The sequence below is a fragment of the Homo sapiens genome, chromosome 5 (genome assembly GCF_000001405.40).
Source record: "Homo sapiens chromosome 5, GRCh38.p14 Primary Assembly".
NCBI lineage: Eukaryota > Metazoa > Chordata > Mammalia > Primates > Hominidae > Homo > Homo sapiens.
This window is the reverse complement of record NC_000005.10, coordinates 149224891-149240426: the sequence shown is the minus strand read 5'-3', so window position 1 is coordinate 149240426 and position 15536 is coordinate 149224891. Positions and strand designations below refer to the sequence as shown.

The following is a 15536-nucleotide window of genomic DNA, read 5'->3' as shown; positions in this document are numbered from 1 at the left end:
TCTACTGAGCTCCAGGAAGGCATGTTAGTTTGAACCTCTTATCTCCCCAACCATCCTTGAACCTCCCCCTTTTGGACGCTCCCTTAATTGCTCCTTTCCTCCATCCAAGTGCTGGCATCACCCCCAACCTGAGGGTGACTGTGGATGGTCTGACTGGATTGGCTGGGGTGGCCCTTGGGTGAAGGCCAGTTCATAGCCATATTTCTGGTCTCTTGGTTCTGCCCTCCGGATGGGGCAGGCCACGAGGATGGTGGAGTCTTCTTCCACCAGGGCCACAGGGCCACCTGCCAGCCCCCTCTCCTGGAAGTTCACCACCCACCTTCCTGCTGCTTCTCAGTGCCACACACTCCTCCATCCCCCCTGCCATCTCAGGGACTCAGAGAGGCCCAGCTGGTCACCTGGGTGGCCATAGGCCTCCAGAGGGCCACACTGTGATGGAGATCATGGGGGAGCCTTGTGCCCTCTGCAGCAGGGACCCCAAGTGACTGCATTGTCTCCCTGGCTCTTCCTCTCCCTTCAGGTCCTCCCCCTTCCTTACCAGAGCGGTAGTAGTGGTGAGGTGAGCGGGAGAAGGTGGGGGACATGCCCTGCCGGCTGTAGGTGGGGGAGTCTATGTACCCCGGGCTGGAGGCCCGTCTCTGCCGGAGGTCCAGGTTCTCGTAGATGTCCTGGGAGAGGAAATGGGGCTGTGAGCATGGCTGGCTGTTAAGTGGGCCTGTGGCCCGAGGGTCTAGCAGGCAGGTGGGCATGACATGGAATCTGGGATTCTCGGGTTTGAGGTGTGAATACAGAGACCCCCCTCCTCCCTGAGTTACACACACAGCCCGAGGAAGATGGCAGAGAATTTCCAGGGCTTTCCCCCATTACTTGCAGGCCCTTGAATGGAATCTATGGGGTCAATCCCTGGAATCCTGACCAGGGATCCCAGAAGCCTGAGGGAGGCCATCTCTGGGCAGGAAGGGCAGATTTCCATCCTGTATGCCACTACCACTTCCTCCAGGACATGCACCCGAGTCTCTCCAGCACTTCCCTGCTTGCAGGGAATACCTTGGGCAAGGGCTCAGACACCTTCGGGGGGCTGGGGATGGGTGAAGTCCACATAAAGGGGCACAATTATATATCAACTTAATTCTCTATCAGCTGAATTACCTGGGAGTAGGGAGATAATGTTCCCAGCGACTTAGAAGTGAAGAGTTTGAAGGCAGTTGTGGAACGAGCAGAAGGAATGAGAGGAGGACGAGACGAAGGACAGAGCATGGTTAGATGGCTCGGCAGAGAGGGTTTGCAGCAGTTCCTTTGTACCCCTCTCCAGATAACAGCCTCGCTGGGAATTCCAGAGGGTCAGACTACTGACAGGAGGCAGGAAACCTCGAGATTATGCCCGCCTTTTAGGAAGGGAAAAACCAAGGCCCAGAGAGAGAATACGAAGGCTCACGGCCACTCAGGGCAGAAGTGGCAGGGACTTGACTTGGACCCAGGCTTCTGTGCTGCATGCTCAGGGCTATTGTCACCACCCTTTCCTTGTCTCTCTACTGGTTCATGACCCCTCTACAGTTCATGAGGACGATGCCCAGGGCAGGGCACCCAGCAGCCAGCACCCTGGCTAAGCAGGGGCCAGGCTGGGGCCACCAACAAGGGAGTTGAGCTGGTGGCTGGTGCAGCAGCTGGAGATGGGATGTCTCGACTGAAGAGGGCAGCAGTTCCTCAGCTCCAGCAGCTGGAATGCCTGCCCAGCATTTACACAGCATCTTAATTTTCCAAGAAAGACAGAAGTGCAGATTCTTACATGAAATCTCCCAGTGTTTACTTGTTGACAACTAGTTTGCATTTTCAAAAGACACTTTGTGAGTGAAACAAAACAAATCTGAGGGCTGGCTGCAACCTGTGGGCCCTGGTTTGCCATCTCTAACTGAAGGACAAGCGGCTTCTACTAAACACTTGATCCTCCTCTCCTGGTGCATTTCAGGGGCCGGAAACCAGAGAATCTCAGCACTGGGCTCTTCAACCAAATGGAACCCAAATCCCTTAGGGAGGAAGGGAACTTGCCTGAGGTTATGAGGCTAGTTATGGTGGAGCTGGGACAAGAACCTGGGTCCCTGCCCACCAGGACAGGCTTCTGCTGCCTCAAATTAACTCAAGGGGTCTGGGATAAGGTTAGAAATCTTCTAGGATATAGACTGCCAGGACCTCCAGGGTAATTCTGCCCCCAACCCTGCTGCCATCTCCAGAAAACACTTTCTCTTGTTTAGCAACCATTTAATGATTTCAAAAGCTATCTGTTACTGAGTCTTTATAAAAGCGTCTCTTCCTTTGAAGAGACACTGGGGCTAAAGGCCAGGTGGGAAAACCAGAGAACATGTCTGATTAGACATGTTATAATCAGGGATTATAAATCTAAATGGCCACTGAGCCTGGCAGGAGATGAGCGCCTTGGGCTGAGTACATGAAAAATTCCTACAGTATAAGAAATACAACAGCTTGAGTAATAAGTGGTCACAGGCTCTTAGCTTCAATGCTGGGATTAACAGGGAGTCGGGGGACTGGGGGGAATGGAAAGCTCATGTCCTGTCTATAGGGGGTGCTGCTTCCCATCTCCAGATGGTGGAAATGTAGGTTTAAGGTTGTCGGCTCTGATTTTTCAAGAAGAGCCAGAAAGCCAAATGAAATCTCTTCATTTAAAAAACGTTGGCCATAAATCCCAGTGTAGAAGAGTCTGGGAGCCAGCATTGTGGAGGCCAAACTGTCTGTGATGGAGAGGGCTGGGGACCCCAGAGCAATCTCCTTTCCTACAATAGCCCCAGAGAGAAGGGCAAGATGCGATACCTCTCCATAGCCACATCTCTCCAGCATCTCGTCGGACATGTATCTGGAATGAGGCTCATAGGAAATGAGGTCGGGGCGTTGTACCTCGTAGATAGACTTAACCTTGGGGAGAGCCGCCAGGTCTTTGTAATTAAGGATCTCATTATCCACTTTAGCCTAGGGAAGAGGGAAATGGACAGGAAAGGAATAGAAAGATAAGAGGGAAAAGGGAATGGAGAGAGGAAACAAAAACAAGATACAGAAGGAACAAACTTCTCCAGTTTCCACCACAAACAGATTAGGATCAAATTGAAGAATAGTAGAATGTTAGAATAAAAGTGGTCTTAGAGGCCATCCATTCCAACAGGGCTAACATTTATTGAGCACATATTGTTTGTAAGCCCTGTGCTTTATAATAATTATATCCTCTAGATGTTGTAATGCCTCTGTGAAGTAAATGTCAATATCATTTCTATTTTCTAGCTGAGGAAATGGAGGCTCAAAAGGTTATACAGTTTGCACCACTAAGCTAATAGATTTGAATTCAGCCTGAACTACACAGCCTGGGTACTGACTGCCTTCCGATCCCACAGAGTGAGGACATCCCAATTCACAGCATCCTTGAAGAAGAAGATGAAGATGGTAAAGACAAAAATAATCATGATAGTAAAACACTAGCTAACATTTGGTGAGTACTTATTATAAGCCAGGCTCTGTACCAAGTCCCTTATATAGATTAACCCAGTTCATCCATACAACTCACAACTCTAGTAGTAGGCACCAACATTATCCTCCTTTTGAATAAGGAACCAGAGGCACAGAAAAATCAATTAACTTGTCCAAGTTGCAAGAGCCCAAGTTTCAACACAGGGAGCTTGCCCTCTTCAGCGGCCTCTCCTGTCTTCTCGGGATGGGGAGTTCACTGTCTTACACCGTCAGAAGGCTGCATTCAGAAAGCTGCTCTTTCCATTGAACTGAAATGAGCCTCTACCTTCTGCTTGACTTTGGCAGAGTTCATCCCTCTAGAGCTGCATGGATTGAAAGAAAGCTTCCCCTTGCATGTGACAGCCCGCATCTCATGGCCCCTGAAGCCATGCCTTTTCCACGGCCATGTCCTCCAGCTGTTCCCTCTGTGACCTGGTGTTTGCTATGATCAACCAGGATCTGTCTTGCAAGGTCCTGAGGTGCTGCAAATTACAACAGAGGCTGCTAGATAGAGAATTCAGAGACTGTATTAGTCTGATAACATTCTCCCAATGCCATAGGAGCCAAGTACAGTCTCAGGGCCAAGACTACTTTATAGGAAGCACCATTCATAAATACCTATAAGCTGTGCTATTTTGAAAACCTACCAAAGCCCTTCCACTATTGTATCCCTGCCACATCAGCACTGCAATTAGGGCAGGGTTGCTTATTCTCTGTTGCCCCTAGACCCAGTGTCCACCCTTCCTTGCCTGGATCTATGTCCTGAACACTGCCTGGGCTGTATCACAGGCTCTTTTGCTCTCTGACTTTCAGTTGGGTTTAGCCAATGGGATGCACCAGCAGAGACTAGAGGGTGAATGGAGAGAGAGGTTGGCACACTTATTCCCCTGGCAACCTTCCTGGCTGGCTGTGGGCTGGGCATGACTCTCTCTGGAGGCTGGGCTTCCCCAGCTCTTGCCAGCTTTGGTAATGCTGTTCCCTTCCCTCATCTTTTTAGGTCCAGTGTGGTAACAACATTATGTTGCTGTAGTCCCTGAATACCTCACTGTCTCCTGTGGGTCCACTTAACCCTGCCCACAACTCCGTCATGAAACCTTCCTCAGTTGAACTCTTTGAGGTAGGCCACCTGATTTCTGCCAGAGCCTGCCTGGTACAGACACTCACATCTGCACCAGTTCTGGGGGTGTGTGGGTAAAAAAAGCCTTTATTAGATGAGAGTCCACTTGCTGAAGTAATTGCTGCCTTTTGTCCTGGCTGTTAGATCTTGACCTTGAGAGCTCTTGGCATCTTCCAAACTCATCTCGACCCATAACTATTCATTTTGGCACTTTACCCCAAACCTCAAAAACACTAAATTTATATTTCTTCCTATAGCCACTTTGTTTACAGGGCTATAAATGAGCCTCAGGTCTGGACACACCAATTGATCAGAGGCATCCTAACATAATTAGCCAGGAAGGAAGGAAGAGAACACATGGGTCAAAGCCAAACCACCTGAAGATGATTCTAGAAGTCAGTGGAGATGGAGTAAAGTTTGAAAGTTTGAAAGAACCTGCTCGTTTCAGGTTCACTGATAATTCTATTTGAATCTAAAATCTCAAATGTCTATTAAAACTAAATTAAAATCCATCTTTATGCTTGTTATTGCATCTATCCAAAGCAGATGGATGAATTTTTTTCCAAATTTGAAAGCCATGCTTGGGATGGGCTCACTGAAAACAGGGCTTCTATGACATGTTCAGTCATTCCCAGGAGCAGCTGAGCATGAGGCACCATAAACGGTGAGAGCAGGAGAGGCTGGAAGGGGAGACACATGCCTCTGCTAGGATGTGAGGGACAACTGATCTCAATGTGTAAGCCCCTAGTTGGAAGGCACAAGCGCAGGTGTTCCTAGCTGCCATCATAAATTCCATTCAGTAATGGAGTTGCTCATCACAGGGGCAATTCTGGGAATCTTTCTCCAGGACTCCACGGTGAACATCATCAGGGCTTAACTTATTTCACAAAGGTTTACAAGGCCCCTCAGTAGCACCGGGAGACCAGCTTGTGATGAACAGTATTACAGTGCAGCAGCTTCCTGAGTGCTCCTATTCTAGTAACTCTCTTCTGGAAACATACTCATATTTGTCAATAACATTCTCACTGTGCATGCCTGGAAACTAAGCCCATTAATCCTGCTGTGGTCTGGCCCCATTCACAGTGCCAGGGAGACTATTACCTTTCTTGCTTTAGAAAGGAATCTTCCATGAGTACAGCCTGTGATCAAAGCAGCTTGTCTTTTTTGACAGCCACATGGTAGTATTGACCCATATTGAAATTTCAGTCAGTGATAACTCTTAAGTGTTTTTCTTTTTTTCCATTTGACCAGAGAAGAAAGGAAAGGTGCCCATAGTCCCATCAATGGGCATTATCCAGGGATCAAAGAGGAGACTGGATGTGGATTTGAAGTAATGATCTGGCAGTAGTGGACAGGGCCAGGGCTGGCTGGTTTGCTGACTCTATCTAGAGCTTCTTGTCAGGAATGGGTTTCTTGTTACAGACCATTTTCCCCACATTTCTGGTCTTCTTGGCTCCTTTGGCTTGTGGAAGGCTGGAACAGTCCAGAGTCAATCAGATTGAGGTTTTCTGCTCGTTTCAGCTCTCCCTGGCTCTGCGTTTCCCACCTCCTTTAGCTTATTTCTGTTTATCCCTCTGCTTTGAGTTTAATGTTTCTTCCTCGGGATGCCTTCTCCCAACTAGTCCTAGATTGTCAGGTCCCTCTGTTTATCTGTAGTATCATCAGAGGACCCTGTGCTTTTCTTTCCTGGAATTTATAACTGCAATTGATGATTCATGGCACTATGTCTTCAATGTCATGAGGACAGGCATCAAGTCTGTGTAGTTCATCACCATTTCCCCAGAGCAGAGCACTGTGCTTAGCAGAGTAAATGCTTGGCACATGTTTGTTGAATGAATGAATGACATATACAAGGGGCCTCTGAGGTCATTGAACTCAACTTCTGTCTCTTCTTCTACATCCCTGGCAAATGATGAGTCTCTCTGTGTTTGAATGCCTGTGGAGATGGGAGCTCAGACACATGGAGGTGGGTCTGCTCCATCCCTGGACTTCCCACATGATTAGAAACCTCTTCCTTATGTTTGCAAATTCTTTACAGCCATGTTTCCACATGTGTATGTGGCTTCCTTCTCCTTTCTGCCTCTTTATCACCCACCACTATCTCCACATCAATATTCCACCTAATACCTATTCAGAATACCACTTTGATCCTCAGTTTTTTCTTGCTCTCAGTTAAGTAGTGGGAAATGAGGCACCTTGCATTGGTTTTAGAACTCAGCAAGGGCTCTTGCTGTCATTGTACTTTCTTTCTCGTGCTCCATGGAACTCTGCATTATCCCTGAAACTCTGGGTTTACTAGACTGTTTGCTTCATGAGGGCGGGATCTATGTCCTCCCTGTACCCCACTGGATCCTCAAGACCTGGTACAGAGCCTAGCACATGAAGAGCATGCATCAAATGTCAGCTGGATGAAAACTTGAGAGCTCCCTTATCCTTAGTGACTCTTTATATACCAGGTCAGGAATAAAGAAGGCCCTTTGGTGGTAGAAAAGTGATACATACGCAGATGACTCGGTTGGGTGACCCAATGCTGGATCCAGGGGGTGAGATGGAGGTTTCAGATGTCCGTCTATGCTGTGAGAGAGATGAAGACAGAAAAGGTGAGAAGCTGCAACCTGAGCTTGGTGGGGAGGGTGAGACAGGGGGTTAAGAATGCAACATTAGCAATACCATTAAAGTACTCTCTGGCTACTTCTGTACTTCCTTTTTATTCTCTGTCTTTCAAGTCAAGGTCTGAGTATGAATGCGACCAAAAATGCAAGGACTTCAGGCTGTTAGGGGTGGAATATGGATTTATTTTCTACGTATTTGCAGCTAGCAGTCTAAATAGGAAATTACTCATAAAACTTTTCATTTTGAGTTATCCCAGTCAATAATGTATTTCTTTTAAAAAATAAAATTGGTTAGCATTCATTCCTTGGGAGTTTGTTTATTCAAAATGTAAAAGTGGGTTAAATTTCACGTAATTGCACAATATGCTGATTCTTTACAGTGTATTAATTGCAAATTGACATCAACTTAAGTGATAAACTTAAAAAAAAAACTGTCTCTGAACAATGGCAATGATGGATTAATAGCTTCCTTAGCAGAGCAGCATGATGCCAGTCTTAATGCATAAGAGGGTGCCTGCCTGATGTAAAGGGATTAGGAATCAAGGACCCACAGGTGAAGTATGTGGTCTTAGGCATCTTGGATTCTTGATCTGTGAAATGAAGAGGCTGAGCTTCAGGATCACTTGATTCTCTCCCAGTTTTCTCATCCTACAATTTAAAGCATTCTAAGTGGGGCTATAAAGTTTCCTAAATTGTGGACTGTGAACTAGCGGTGGTTCTGGGAAGATGAAGGTGGAACATTTGATAATACTGAATCATAGAGTTAGAGAGTAAAATCTAACGTTTCAATCCCCTTGATAGATCAAGGAGGCCGTCTCAGTTTGGTGCTAATTCTTTTCAACAACTCTCTCAACAATTGTCAATTTCCTATTTTATTTTATTTTTGAGACAGAGTCTCGCTCTGTCATCCAGGCTGGAGTACAGAGGCACAATTTTGACTCACTGCAACCTCTGCCTCTCATTTTCAAGTGATTCTCCTGCTTCAGCCTCCCAAGTAGCTGGGATTACAGGCACGTGCCACCACATCCAGCTAATTTTTGTATTTTTAGTAGAATTGGGGTTTCGCCATGTTGGCCAGCCTGGTCTCGAACTACTGACCTCAAGTGATTCACCCGCCTTGGCCTCCCAAAGTGTTGGGATTACAGACTTGAGCCACCACTCCCAGCCCAATTTCCCTTTTTAAACAAAGAGAGTGCAGACAACATTGTCTAGCTAGGATTTTAAACATTTATTCTTAAGAATTATTTCATTATCATTGAATTTATTTTATGATTACCTTCTATTTATAGCAAGTATTACTGGTTTTCACGTGGCAATATAAAGTTTTATTTTAAAATAAGGTTAGTTAATAAAAAGTAGTGACTTGATGTAAAGAAAAAGATTAAGCATATAATGAAACAGGTGGTGCACAGATATGGCAACAGGCATCAGGGTTGTAGACGATGACTGAAGTTTGGGAAATGCCACCAAAGGGGAGGAAAATGAAGAAAGGGACAATTAGGTCTTATACCTTAAATGGGAGAGGGTCTTGCAAGAAACAGGGAAAGAAATTCAGGGCTTAAAACATAATTATGCATCAATAAACTGGCTCTTTCAGAAAACTTTCATTAAGTGGATGAGATAGCAAGGAAGACATGTTTAACTAGCTGGTCAGAAATTGTGCACTTGCTTTTCTAGTTGGATAGACTCTAGCAGGTAACACAATAGAGTCCCAAGGGGTCAACTTGATATCCGGGGGCCAGGATGTAAAGGCCCCATTCCCCATCCCCCAACACACACCCCAGGTGTCTCCTCTACATCATCAAAGACCCAGAAGCCGGATCCTTCCTGCAGCCTGGGAGGCTCAATCCCTCTCTGCAGTATCAGGAACCCAGATTCACAAGCCTTCCTGACATTTGTCAGAACACAGTAATTCAGAGGGACACAGGACCTCAGCTGGCCCAGCGCGTACCTGGGGATGTCGGCTGTGCTTTGTTACTGCAGGCACATCATCACCTCTTTAGAACTGGTTTTCTCACAGGCAAGGCAAAGATAGAATTTCTTGCCCATCTGCCTCACAGGGTTAAAGGAGTAAAATCAGACAGTGCCTGTGAAGATGCTTTGTAAACTGTCAATTACTGTGACATTATTAACTATTATTATTAACGAGTGACCTTAGGCTGGGAAAAACCATGGCGAGAGCTTCTCAGCGAGGCTGCCATCTTGGTCAGCAATGGTAGAGTTACAGCCTCACCCCAGAAACACAAAACTCTCATGAATACAGTGCTTTACAGTTTTCAGAGTGCTTTCATATCCGATGTCTTAACCCCCTCAAAAACCCCATGGGGCAGGTGTTACCGTTAGGAAAATCCAAGGACATAGGCACACATTTGGGAGTGTGCACACTAAGGAATGCTGACCCTGTCCCAAAGCACAGCTCCCTTAGCCTGTGGCAGAAAGTAGCAAAGCAGGAGTGCTGGTCTGGAATCTACTAGCTTGCTTACCTTTAACTTCTTCTCTGCCCGGGCTGCCTGTTTGCAGATGGGGTGCCAAACCTCGGAACCTAAGGGGTCATGAAAATAACGAAGACTCAGACCTTTCAAACCCTCCAGCACTCTCCCCATGTCCCACCTTGATTCACTCCGTGGTCAGCGTATGTCCCTTACACATCTGCCAGAAGGGCCCTCTTGGCTTTCCCAGCTCCCTCCTGGCACCTCTCAGACCTATGCGACCGCTCACATCCTTTTTCTGTGTGTCCAAATCCTACCTGTTCCTAAAGGTCTAGGGCTCACATGACATCCTCTTGCAAACTTTCTTACCTGCCAGTTGGGGGTGACTTCTCTGTCCTTTGTGATCCATAGTTCTTTGTGTCTCTTTCCACACATACAGCCTTAAGGCACAGTAGCTTATGGATTTTTCATTTCCCACTAAATCAAGAGCTTCTTCTGGGCGGGAGCTGAGCTTTATTCATTGCTACATCTCCCACAGTCCCCAGCACGGGACTTTGCTCTTAGAAGAGATCCGTACATGTTTGTGGGGTGAAGAGGTGAGTGCATGATTGGCAGTCAGTGACACATAGCAGGTGGTCAATAAATATTTGTTGAATGAATAAATGACAGTGTGGATAAAAAAGAGTGACAGAGCATGGTGAACTCCAGCTTTCTTTTCTCTTAAAGACTTATGACTGTCTACCAGAGCTATCACATTTAAGGGGGAGGAGGTGTCATGGTGTATATTCCGCTTGAGAGCATTGCCTTGACCTGCTAATTCCTCAGAGACTCCAGACTCTTCAAATTTAGTATACTGCTAACGCCCACATTTTATTGTGGGTGGGGGTCCAGTTGGCCAGCCCCAAACCCGAAAGGCCAATTTGGAAAGGCATGAGCAACAGGTGGCTGCTCACATGTTGAGAAGCAGCCCCAAATATGACACATTCCCCAAAGAAGGGACAGGTGTCCTGGATTAGAAGGAAAAATAGGAACATATTATCCCTCTGGAGCCATTCCCCTTGTAACCAGCCCTAAAAGGAAAGAAGCCAGCAATGGCTGGATTCCTGAGCATCCAGATGGCATTTGTTTGTCTGACTTTGTCTCTAGGATATACTTTATATTATGCTTTGTTGCCTGGAACCCCCAGGACCGGAATACTAGCTAAGGGATGAGATGGTGGTGAAAGGTCAATAAATCGGAGTGAAAAAGAGAAGAGAGGCCTGAAGTGAGGAGGCCTGTGTTTTTTGTCTCTGCTCAGCCCCTAACACATCCTCTCTCTGGGTCCCAGTTTCCTCATCTGAAGAACAATAAGGTGGGATTTGGGTGGCCTTGAAGATTATTTTCATCTCCAAGTTTCTAATTTTACGGGCAGTTTTGTCTTTTGTGGAACAAGAATCTTTGATTTTTGTCTGCCGACATACTTGGGTATTCCTTATTATTCAACTGGGTTTAATTCTTTCTAAAGTAAAATGCAATGGTTCTCAGAGCCCAGTAGAGGGACTCTGAGTCTGTGGCTTGATCCAGCAATCACAGGGTGTGTCCACTACCAAGCTGTGTGTTGGGATTCTTACTTTAGGGAGTTATTAGAGAGAGCGTTTCCGGTTCCTCTCTGAGTTGCTTCCGAATCTATCAGGAATTGTTTATGACTGTGGCTGTGGCAGGAAACACATGTTACAGGTCACTGTAGGAAATGGATGAGATGGACACAGAGGTCTGAGGAGGTCATGAACTTAAGTTAAAGAGACATAGGAAAGATCAAGAGGGCAGAAGTCCTCATACAAGGAAATAATGTGTCAAGCGAGGGGGTCAGACTAGAGGGTCTCTTTTGCTTTCTAACCCCATAACATTGGCATTTCACTCTGAAATAAAACTGAGCCAAAAATGGCCATTAACTTCAGCACTCTGCATACCGGAAAGCATATTTACATAAGAAACAAGGAGAGGAGGATCAAACAAGAAAAAAAATATAATTAGAAATGAAAAAAATCAGAATTTAGGAGTTGGTAGTATATCTGTAAATAAAAGAGGCTAAAAAAAGTTAGTTGGTAGCTAGCAATAAACTTACATAAAGAATGCAAGAAAAGATGATTTGTTCATGAAGATCCCTGTGAAATAACGGTCTTCTGAGCTTATTCCCTAGGCCAATAGCTCAACAATGTGACATTAACAGAAGGATAACATCATGGTGAAGAAGATGGTTATTCTCTTCAGTGGACTTTATCCCCAGAGCCAAAAACAGTGCCTGGCCCATGTGTGTTTAACAAAGAAATGCATGTGAATGACTCATTGGACCCTACCTTTGTATTTTTTTTCAAAAAGATACTAGGTATAATGCACCCATGAGAGGATGGTGACTATCCTAGGAAGGGGACTCAAATGCAATTCTAAGGCTGGGTCTTTACCCTGAAGAAGAGACTTAACAGAATGGTGAAAGCTGATTTTACAGATTTTAATGACTCTCTGTAGGAAGAGGCATTCATTTGTTTTGTAGAACTAGGACTAAGGGCAGAAGGTTCAGGCAAGGAACATTTAACACCTAAGAACTGAATGGCCTTATTCAACTGACAGTAAGCCCTTGTCCCTAAAAGTGTTTAAGTACACATTGGGTATATAAATGCTCAGCAGTGATATTAGGAAGGAGACTCAGCACACAGTACTTACACTAAGGGATGTTTACCAGCCCCCAAATCCTTAGAGATTCTGTTTCCATCTTAACAGGTTTTACTGTACCGAGAAGATAATTATTTGCCCCACCCATTTATCCTGATAAGAATGTAAATTCTATGAGGAGAGGATTCATGTCTGTTATACCTACAGATATATCTGCAGGAACTGCAGATTCTCAATAAATACTCATTGAGTGAATAAATAAACAAAAGAAACATGGCATTCTATCTTAGGCAGTTGGCTTCTCTAACTTGGGCCCAGAGATTTGGACAAGTAGTACAATCTAGACTCTGATTAGACAGCCACAACTCCAGACTGAGTCTACAAACATATTCACTATATTGGGGTGTGTCAAACTGTGACCTGTGGATCACCTGTCTTGCAGTCTGGTAAAATTCAGATTCCTGGGCCCCCCTGCAGAAGCCACTGACGCCAACTCCCTGGAGGTGGGACCTGGGAATCTGTGATTTAACAAGCTCCCCAGGTGATTTTATGACTCATAATTTGAGAACCACAGGGCTAAATACCAGATAACACTCTAAATTTATTTTCTTGGAATGTTATGTGATAAAGAAACCAATTTTATAAGGCAGAGCTCTAGCTTTTTGTAAGAGTACAACATTTTCTGCTTGTTCAACTCCTGGTTCCATGAGTCACTTCCTCCTGTCCTCTGAGATTGTCACCCACAATTCCAGGCTCTGCAGTTAAAACCTACTATGAAGGTTATGGAAGTGAAGGATTAGCTATTTCTGTATCAGCTGACTCAGAGATAGAGATGTTAATCTCCAAAACTATCTGTCAGCCAGGTATTAAGGCCATTTTTAATCGTTAGCAGAGTCAGCAGTCAGTCTTATCTCTCTGATTGGTTATAGCACACTCCACACCTGTAACATTTGGGGCTGATTTAATGTTGGGGAAGCCACCCACCTCTCTGCTACACCCTGATGTTAAATTTGCCAAGGCTTTTTTTTTTTTTTTTTTTTTTGAGATGGAGTTTCGCTCTTATTGCCCAGGCTGGAGTGCAATGGCACGATCTTGGCTCATTGCAACCTCTGCCTCCTGGGTTCAAGTGATTCTCCTGCCTCAGCCTCCTGAGTAGCTGGGATTACAGACATGCACTACAACACCCGGCTAATTTTGTATTTTTAGTAGAGATGGGGTTTCTCTGTGTTGGCCAGGCTGGTCTCAAACTCCCAACCTCAGGTGATCTGCCCGCCTCGGCCTCCCAAAGTGCTGGGATTACAGGGATGAGCCACCATGCCCGGCCAATGCTTTTTGTTTTTTAATGCCAAAGCTGGAGTTGGTATCATAGTCTTCTAGAATGTTGGCATTCTAGAGGTTACAAGTACAGTGATTGAAAGTGGTCCATTGGACGGTTCTGTTTAGTAAGCATGATTTTAAACAGTTCTGAGTCTGAAGGTTTTTAGATACTGCAGGTCACCAGTGACCCTCCCTACTTTCTGACTCCCAGCCCTTCCCACTCCTTGACGTGGGCATTGGAGTTTTTGGCCTTGACCCTAGCTAGGGCATTCTCTTACGGCAGGTTTCCTCTCTGGATTTCTTTTTTTGTTTTGAGACGGAGTCTCGCTTTATCACCAGGCTGGAGGGGAGTGGTGTGATCTAGGCTCACTGCAACCTCTGCCCCCAGGTTCAAGCGATTCTCCTGCCTCAGCCTCCCGAGTAGCTGGGACTACAGGTGCATGCCACCACACTCGGCTAATTTTTTGTATTTTTAGTAGATACGGGGTTTCACCATGTTAGCCAGGATGGTCTCGATATCCTGACCTCATGATCCACCCTCCTCAGTCTTCAAACTGCTGGGATTACAGGTGTGAGCCACTGCGCCTGGCCTCTGGATTTTTTTTTCACCATAGCAGGATGAGGTTTCTCAGACCTCTGCCTTTATGACAGCAGCACTATCTTTGTGGCAATAGACTGGGAGGAACCTTGGAACTGCTCCTTTAAAATCTCCATGCACATAAACCAACCCAAATGCCCATCAATCAATGAGTAGATAAAGAAACTGTGATATATATATATATATATATATATATATATATATATATATATATACACACACACACACACACACACACATATTATATACATACATACATATATATATATATATGTATATATGATGGAATACTACTCAGCCATAAAGGAAACAAAATAATGGCATTTGCAGCAACCCAGATGAAATTGGAGGCCATTATTCTAAGTAAAGTAACTCGGGAATGGAAAACCAAACATTGTATGTTCTCATTCATAAGTGAGAGCTAAGCTATGAGGATGCAAAAGCATAAGAATGACACAATGGACTTTTGGGGCTCAGGGGGAAAGGCTGGGAAAGGGGTAGGGGATAAAAGACTACAAATTGGGTGCATTGTATACCACTCAGGTGATGGGTGCACTAAAATCTCACAAAACGTCACTGAAGAACTTCCAAACACCATCCTGTTCCCCAATTACCTATGGAAATAAAAATTTTTTTAAAAAATCTTCATCCACATAAAAAATGTGGTAGATCCAAAAATGGAATATTGTTCAGCCATAAAAGGAATGACCTGCTGATACCTGCTATTATACGGATGAACCTAGAAAGCATTATTCTCAGGGTGAGAAGCCAGTCACAAAAGAACATATATTGTATGGTTCCATCTGTAAGAGCTATACAAAATTGGCAAATCCATAGAGACAGAAAACAGATTGGTGACTGCCAGGGGTTCGGGGACAGAGGAATGGGAAATGACTGCTTAATGGCATGTATGAGGTTTCCTTTTGAAGTGATGAAAATGATTTGGAACTAGATAGAGGTGGGGGTTGTACAACATTGTGAATGCACTAAAAGCTACCGAATTGTGCGCTTTAAAATGGTTAATTTTGTGTTATGAGAATTTTACATTAACATAAAAAATTTCCCACTCCTCTCCTCCCAGCAGGTGAATTGCTTCTGTAGACCAAGGCACTCTGTTCCTCCTTTGCTACTGAAAGTGCCAAACTCGGCCAGAGAGAGGAGTGAACACTGCTGTTGAATCTGCCCTGTAATAACAACAGTGTGATCATTATAATCTTGGGTGTTAGTAAATCTTTACTGGTATCAGGCACTCTGTGCATCATTTCATGTAATATTCTTAAGGGGTTCCAATCCTGGCTACATCATTT

The 15536-nt window shown here is 45.1% G+C and overlaps 1 protein-coding gene across 14 annotated transcripts in view; it reads right to left on the bottom strand.

Annotated features, from left to right (window-relative positions):
• Positions 1-15536, bottom strand: part of ABLIM3 (actin binding LIM protein family member 3) — a 119050-nt gene that overhangs the window by 20116 nt on the left and 83398 nt on the right. For 7 of the 14 annotated variants that reach the window (NM_014945.5, NM_001301018.3, NM_001345858.2 and 4 more), the window contains 5 exons: positions 9720-9778; positions 7127-7198; positions 2824-2979; positions 1150-1179; positions 539-668 (listed from right to left, as the gene is read on the bottom strand). In NM_014945.5, the coding sequence (NP_055760.1) occupies positions 539-668; positions 1150-1179; positions 2824-2979; positions 7127-7198; positions 9720-9778 (447 nt within the window). The other 7 variants (XM_005268394.3, NM_001345859.2, NM_001345860.2 and 4 more) reach the window with 2 other exon arrangements.